Source organism: Homo sapiens, chromosome 5, assembly GCF_000001405.40.
Source record: "Homo sapiens chromosome 5, GRCh38.p14 Primary Assembly".
Classification (NCBI taxonomy): Eukaryota; Metazoa; Chordata; class Mammalia; order Primates; family Hominidae; genus Homo; species Homo sapiens.
Genome location: NC_000005.10, coordinates 58158118 through 58166390, shown reverse-complemented (window position 1 = coordinate 58166390; position 8273 = coordinate 58158118). Strand labels below are relative to the sequence as shown.

Genomic DNA, 8273 nt, shown 5'->3' with positions numbered 1-8273 from the left:
GATCGTAATTAAAGACTAAAAACTAAAGTTGAACCAGTTTCAGGGGCTTTATGATTCAGAGGCTTGCTGCCAGGCTATGTAATTTGCAAGACCCAGTGAAACATGAAAATGAGGGGACCTTTATTAGAAATCTATTAAGAATTTCAAGACCATGATAGTAGAACATTAAACCAGACATGAGGCCATAGCAAGCGTGAGGGCTTTGTGTGACCACATATGTTGTACATTTATGAAGCCAGCCACGCTTCCTGTTCTGGGGCATAGGCATATCTGGTAGGTATAGCCTAGGATGGCCTTAGCCTAGAATGGCAAAGAGGTTTCAAGGACTGGGCTAATCCTAATGGCCCACGGTGGCTGCCTGGAGCACTGTGTTTGCATGCCTGGAAAGCTGAAAGGTACATCATAATTGATGAGCAATGTCTACCATGCACATGGGATACGTTTTTCTGTCTCTAGAATTAAAATCTGACTTCAGAAGAATATTTTTAAAAATCTGCTTATTTATCAAGGCAGAATTTACATACACTATATCGCACATTTTAATGGTACAGGTAGGTGTCTTATATTTGACAAATGTACTTCTGTATAATCACTAGCCTATTCCAAATACAGAACATTGGCATTTTCCCAGAAAGCTCCCCACTGCCTCTGTGCATTCAATCTCTCTCCTCTCCTTCCCATCCACCTGCAAATGATCACTGACATGTTTTCATGACTATCGGTTAGTTTTGCCTGTTATAGAATTTCATCTAAATGCAATCACACCATCTTTACTGTGTGTATGGCTTCTTTTGCTCAGCATAATGACTGTGAGATTCATCCATGTCACAGCCTATATCAGTAGTTCATTTTACTTTATTGCTTAACAGAATTTATGGTAAGAACATACTAAAATGTGTTTATGCACTTGCCAGTTGGTGTACCTACTTTTGGACTGTTTCCAGTTTGGGGGTTCTGGTGTGAACACTGGTACACACATCTTTTTATTAACATATGTTTTCAATTCTCGTGGGTAAGTACTAAAGAGTGGAATTGCTGAGTATGCACATGTTTTAACTTTACAAGAAACAGTGGCTGTGTCATTTTACACTAGTAATGTGTGAAGGGTCTAGATGCTCCACATCCTTGCCAACACTGAGTATTGACGGTCTTTTTAATGTTGGCCATTTTAGAGGCTGCATGGTGGTATTTCATTGTATTTTGGGTTTGCATTTCCGAAGAGTTAATAAAGTTGAAGTTTTTTTCATGTTCTCATTGATCAGTCATTATAAAGAATATGTTCAAGTCTTTTATCAAATTTTTAAAGACAGGTACTTTATGTTTTGGAGGAGTTTTAGGCTCATGGCAAATTAAATATAAAGTACAAATTTCCCATATACCACTCACCTGCCCCCACCCCACAGACAGCCCCCGCTGCCAACAACATCTCACACTAGTGTGGTTTGTTTGTTACAACTGATGAACCAATCTTATTATATTATTGTCAGTCAAAATCTATAGTTTACATTAGGGTTCACTCTTGTTCTGTGGGTTTTGCCAAATGTATAACAACATGTATTTATCATTATAGTATTATATAGAATAGTCTCACTGCCATAAAATCTCTAATGCTCCACTTATTGATCTCCCATTCCCCTAAATTCCTGGAAATCATTGATCTTTTTATTGTCTCCATAGTTTTGCCTCTTCCACGATGTTATATAGTTGGAATTATATAGTATATAGCCATTACAGACTGGCTTATTTCACTTAGTAATAAGCATTTAAGTTTCCTCCATGTCTTTCATGGCTTGATAGCTCATTTCTTTTTAGTGCTGAACAACATGCCACTATCTGGATATACCACAGTGTATTTTTTTATTCACGATTGAAAAACACCTTATTTGGTTCCATCTTTTGGCAATTAAGAATAAAGTTGCTATAAACATCCATGTGGAGGTTTTTTTATGAACTGAAATTTTTAGCTCATTGGTTTTTATCCATTTTTGAATTCACGTTATTTGTCTTCTTTTTTTACTCAGTTTTGCCTAGAAAGAAATTTAACTTGAGTAGAAAGCTTTTCTTTCTGTTTAACTTTGGTGAGAGAACAGTGATTACTAAAAATAAATTTTAGTTAGTAAATTAAACTTTTAAGAAATTTTTCTAAAATATCATCAAATTATTTCTAATTACAATTAACAAATTAATTATGACAGCTAGGCATACAAGTATTAATAATAATATACTTTACTTACATACCTAGGATTGTTTCAGTACCAGGATCCTTTCAGACATCTGGTGAAATGTGACAAATCTTTCTATACTGTACAGCCTAAAGTGTAATTTCTACTTACCGGACTCACAAACTCAAACTCAATATAGAATTTTAAAAATGTAAAAGTTCGCACTCTCCACTGGGCACCATGGCTCACGGCTGTAAGCTGGCATTGGGAGGCCGAGGCAGGAGGATTGGTTGAGCCCAGGAGTTTCAGACCAGCTTGGAAAATATAGGAAGAACACATCTTTAGCAAAAAAAAAAAAACAAAATTAAAAAAAATTAAATTAGCCAGATGTGGTTGTGCATGCCTGTAATCCCAGCTACTTGGGAGGCTAAGGCAAGAGGATCCCTGGAGCCCAGGAGACTGAGGCTCCAGTGAGCTGTGTTTGTGCCACTGTACTCCTGCCTGGGTGAGAGTGAGACTCTGTCTCAAAAAAAAAAAAACATAAATAAATAAAAAGCTCATGCTCTCGTCCTAATACAATTATTGTTGCATCATGGGATCTACCAATCAAAATGGAGATTTAGCATGGGAGCAGGTTTCTGGAGGACCTCAGTTACGCCAGTTGATACCCTTTTAAATGCCGGATTGTTGGGATATTATTTATTTCTGTGTACATAATATTATAAAGTATGTGCAATATTACAAATGTATAATAAATATGTCTACATAAGAAACTATCCCTAAACCCAGAGGCTTAAAACAATAACCATCTAGTTAGCTCATAAATCTGAGAATCAGAAATTTATGCTAGGTTCAGCTGGTTCTCCTGATCTTAGCTGGGCTTACTCCTATATCTTTGGTCAGCTGCCAGTTCAGTCTGGTCTGAGGCAGCCTCAGTTGGGATGGTTCATCTCTGTTCCACTTGGTTTCTCATTCCCCAGCAGGGTATCATGGGCTTGTTCTTACGATTGTGGAGTGTGTTTTCTAGAGAGAGCACAAGGCTTGTTTAGGATTAGGCTTATTATTTGAATAACTAATTTTATATGCATTCTATTCACCAAGTTATGTCTCAAGGTCAGACCATATTCAGGGGCTGAACAAAGACACTCTGCCTCTTGATAGAAAAAAAAACACAAGTCATATTGCAAAGGGATGTGGAGATAGAGAAGGAAGTGATGTGATCATTTTTGCAAACTGTAATGGGGAGGTTGGTGAGGGGAGGATACAGAAGATATCTGGGCCAGCTAAGGTTCTGAGAGGGCATTAGGGGAACTGGAGGCAGCAACAGTGATCCAATCTCTGTGAAACTATTTCAATATTTTGACATGCAGCTATATGAGTAGGCACAGGCCAAACACAAGCCCTGGAAATAACATTACAATTTTATGTTTTAAAACACAGAAAAGGGGTGGCTGGCAAGATGGCTGAATAGGAACAGCTCTGGTCTGCAGCTCCCAGAGAGATCAACGCAGAAGGTGGGTGATTTCTGCATTTCCAACTGAGGTACCCAGCTCATCTCATTGGGACTGGTTAGACAGTGGGTGCAGCCCATGGAGGGCAAGCCAAGCAGGGTGGGGCATTGTCTCACCCAGGAAGCTTAAGGGGTTGGGGAACTCCCTCCTCTAGCCAAGGGAAGCCATGAGGGACTGCGCTGTGAGGAACGGTGCACTCCGGCCCAGATACTATGCTTTTCCCACGGTCTTCACAGCCCGCAGACCAGGAGATTCCCTTGGATGCCTACACCACCAGGGCCCTGGGTTTCAAGCACAAAACTAGGCAGCCATTTGGGCAGACATGGAACTAGATGCAGGAGTTTTTTTCATACCAAGGTGGCACCTGGAACACCAGCGAGACAGAACCATTCACTCCCCTGGAAAAGGGGCTGAAGCCAGGGAGCCAAGTGGTCTAGCTCAGCAGATCCCACCCCACGGAGCCCAGCAAGCTAAGATCCACTGGCTCGAAATTCTCTCTGCCAGCACAGCAGTCTGAAGTCGACCTGGGATGCTTCAGCTTGGTGCAGGGGGAGGGGTGTCCACCATTACTGAGGCTTGAGTAGGCGGTTTTCCCCTCACAGTGTAAACAAAGCCACCACTGGGTAGTTCAAACTGGGTGGAGCCCACCGCAGCCAGCAAAGCCACTGTAGTCAGACTGCCTCTCTAGATTCCTCCTCTCTGGGCATCTCTGAAAAAAAGGCAGCAGCCCCAGTCAGGGGCTTATAGATAAAACTCCCATCTCCCTGGGACGGAGCACCTAGGGGAAGGGGTGGCTGTGGGTGCAGCTTCAGTGGACTTAAACATTCCTGCTTGCCAGCTCTGAAGAGAGCAGAGGATCTCCCAGCACAGCACTTTAGCTTTGCTAAGGGACAGACTACCTCAAGTGGGTTCTGATCCCCATGACTTCTGACTGGGAGATACCTCCCCAAATGAAAGTTCCCCAGGGCTGCTGCCATGGGCTGCAGTCAGTACTTGTTTCCCCTCCTTGATCTGGGGAACTATTTCTTCATTCCAAAAGGGCAGAGCTCTGGCAGTAGTGTCCTTCAGACTCACAGGTGGGTAGCTGATCTTCAGTGGGATCTGCATACCTGCAGTCCTTACTGACACTGCTGTAGAAGGGATGGTCAGGCTCCTTCAGAGGTGGTAGGACAGCATAGGAGCACCTCCAGATCTTTACCTGAGCCTCAGCATGCTTGGCAGTAGTTTGTGTTTATTGGGTTGGTCAGACCACCATAGTGCAGCTCACTGAGGTGCCAAGTCCTCACTACAAGCAGCCACCTCTGGCCAATGGCATCTAGCACTGCCCAGAGGGTCCAGGTCACTTTCTTTTGCACTGAGGTGAAGAAGATATCGAACTCGTAGCCAACATCTCACAGCAGCTTCCCGCCATGCTATGCCTGCTCATGGCTTGCCGGGCTCAAGGTTGGCATGCTACCAGCCACAGAAGGTGGGTTCCAGACACTCTCATCCTGCCAGGTCAACACCAGCTTATACATGGCCTTGGCGGTGGGGTGGGGATGTGGCACTGACTAGGGCTCACAGAGATTCCAGAGCCCTGTGTTTCCTTTAAACAACACAAAACCATCTCCTCTCATATCAAAGAAGCTTCTTTCATCTTGTAGCAATGTTGGAGTTTTGCTTCCAAAATATAATTCTCCCAGTAACTAATTTAGTAACAGGATCCTTGCAGATTCCTGCTGAAATGTGACCAGTCTTCCTTTCACACTCTATAGCCTGAAGTATAATTTCTACTTACTGGCCTTTGTAGATGCAATACAGAATTTTTAAAATGTCAAAGCTTACATTCTCCTGCTACTGAAAGTATTTCTGAAGTAACTTCACCTCTGTAGCTCACCTGTTGTAGGGTTCTCTGTCAATCATAACACTACATCTTTGTACAGACTAAGGAAGGGCTGGGCTGGAATACGTCAATAATTATTTGCTAACAGGGGCCCATCAACATGTTTCCCCTTTAGTCACTGAACCATAATTATTCATGGGAATAAACCCTTGAAAGTGGAGAAATCATGACTTTTTAATCTTGAGTCTTAATTCCTCCTGGTCTTTCCTCAGCATTTCCCACTAAGTACAATGCTATGCATATGGTAGTAGCTAAACAATAATGGAAAGACTGTTCCTATACATTTTAATGACCAGTATAGAAACCCAGCTTACTTACACAATGAAACACAATTATTAGATTTACTTTTCTTCATCTGGTCCTTAAGTGAAAATCAACAGGTCAAGATAATCTTATGAGGCTAGCCGCTGGGGCTGAGAGCCAAAGACTGTTTGTGTGCTTTGAATCTTTTACCCTTTACATTCAACTGGTAGACCAATGGTGACTAGTAGCTCAGGGCCAGAGAAGCAGGATCTGAAATATATTTAAAAAAAAATTTTTTTTTGAGACAGTCTCACTCTGTCACCAGGCTGGAGTGCAGTGGCATGATCTCAGCTCACTGGAATCCCCACCTCCCAGGTTCAATCGATTCTCCTGCCTCAGCCTCCCAAGTAGCTGGGACTACAGGCGCATGCCACCATGCGCAGCTAATTTTTGTATTTTTAGTAGATACGGGGTTTCACCATGTTGGCCAGGAAGCTCTCAATCTCTTGACCTCGTAGTCTGCCCACCTCAGCCTCCCAAAATGCTGGAATTACAGGCATGAGCCACCAAATTTTTAAAATGGTTTAAAATCAATTAGGCTGCGGGCAACACACACACATACCTGCCCTCATGTAAACAGCAAAAGCAATGGAAAGTATAAAAAATATGGTCTACCACATGAGCATTGCATAAGAGTCTCACTGGACAGTGACATCTCCCATGGTAATTATAGGAATATGGGTGAAAATGTCACAGGGTTGATTGCAGTTTTTGACCTCTCAAGGCTGCAGTTCAGCCATGGTTGCAAAATGCTGCTAATAATTTTTCTCAAAGGAAAGGTACAGGGTCAGCGAGACTCTAGTGGAAAAGAATCAAAGGGGACAACTTGCACTGGTCCACTCCCATGGGTGGTCTTATCTGCCAAGATGTGGCCGGCTAGGGAGAGCCCTTGGAAGTCTGCAGCCCTGTGTTCAAGAGTCTGAGATTCTCATAAGTCAAGCAGTCTGGGTGACATTTCTAGTTTCTTAATTTTTCACCAGGTGGAAATAGCAACTAGGAAATTCTGCTCTCATTAAGAATTCTGAGGTCATTTTCTTGTTTTAGTCACAGGACTTTACAATAATAATAAAGGAACCTGGAGTAGAGGGAGTGGATGCAGGTTATCATATTATCACAAAAATTCTGGTGAAAATTAGCTTAGTTCCTATTGTTCAAATGGAAACACTCTTATTGAGTATCCATTATGTGTTCAAGATTATGCTAGTGCATTATCTTATGTAGTAGTTACTAGAGTCTGAGGAAGTTAGTACTATTGTCTCCATTTTTAAATAAGAGAAAACCAAGCTCAGATTGACTAAGTAACTTATTTTGACCACATAGCTGAGAAGTAGCAGGGTGGAGATATCACCAAGGTTTGCTTTTTCTATATCCACTCACTGTCCACCACCCTTCACTGTTTACTGCAGGACAGTCCAAGGGTAGGGGTGTATGGCTCTGAATTAATCCCACCCCACAAATGTATCTTCTTTATATTTTCCACTTCCCAAAACCCAGGCTCAAGAAATCATCAAAGCAACTGGAATTCTCACTCACTGCTGTTGGGAATGCAAAATGGTATAGCCACTTTGGAAGACAGTTTGATAGCTTCTTAAAAAACTGAACATACCATATGATCCAGCAGTTGCACTTTTTGGTATCTATCCAAATGAGTTGAAAACTTATGTCCACACAAAAACTTGCATATGGATGTTTATAGTAGCTTTATTCATAATTGCCAAAATAAGGAAGCAACCAAAATGTCCTCTAATAGGTGAATAGATAAACTGTAGTAATTCAGACAATGGAATATTATTCAGCAATAAAAAGAGATGAGTTGTCAAGCCACAAAGACATGGGAGAAGCTTAAATGAACATTGCTAAGTGAAAGAAGCCAACCTGAAAAGTCTACATACTATGTGATTCTAACCACATGACATTCTGGGAAAAACAAAACTATAGATACAGTAAAACTATAAGTAGTTGCCAGTGGTTTGGTGTATATGTGTGTGTGTTGGGGGACATAAACAGGTGGAGCTCTGGGGATCTGGAGCAATGAAACTATTCTGTATGATACTGTGATGGTGGATACATGATATTACATGTTTTCAAAACCCATAGAATGTACCCCAGCAAAGGTGAAAACAACATAAAATATGGACTTAATAATAATGCATCAATATAGGCTTATCAAATGCAACAAACATACCTCACTAATGCAAGATGTCAGTAATAGGGGAAGCTGGGAGGAGCGGACTGGTGAGTTGGGGTGGAGTATATGGGAACTCTGTACTTTCTGCTCAATTTTTCATAAATCAAAAACTGCTAAATAAAAAATTAAAAAGCATTCTCAAACTACCAATATTTCTTAAAGGCCTCCTGTATCAGAATCTGTTGTTGCTGCCAGACACTCCTGATTATGACACTGTGCCCAAGGAC

General features: G+C 41.6%; 1 pseudogene, besides 2 other annotated features; it reads right to left on the bottom strand.

The window, feature by feature from the left end:
• Positions 3375-3875: an enhancer, noted in NCBI's record as "H3K27ac hESC enhancer chr5:57458343-57458843 (GRCh37/hg19 assembly coordinates)". NCBI's record gives its function as "activates a minimal SCP1, AML or CMV promoter by ChIP-STARR-seq in primed H9 embryonic stem cells {active_cell/tissue: H9 hESC(primed)}" and the evidence as "EXISTENCE:reporter gene assay evidence [ECO:0000049][PMID:30033119]".
• Positions 3876-4376: an enhancer, noted in NCBI's record as "H3K27ac hESC enhancer chr5:57457842-57458342 (GRCh37/hg19 assembly coordinates)". NCBI's record gives its function as "activates a minimal SCP1, AML or CMV promoter by ChIP-STARR-seq in primed H9 embryonic stem cells {active_cell/tissue: H9 hESC(primed)}" and the evidence as "EXISTENCE:reporter gene assay evidence [ECO:0000049][PMID:30033119]".
• Positions 4581-5247, bottom strand: PGAM1P1 (phosphoglycerate mutase 1 pseudogene 1; annotated as a pseudogene).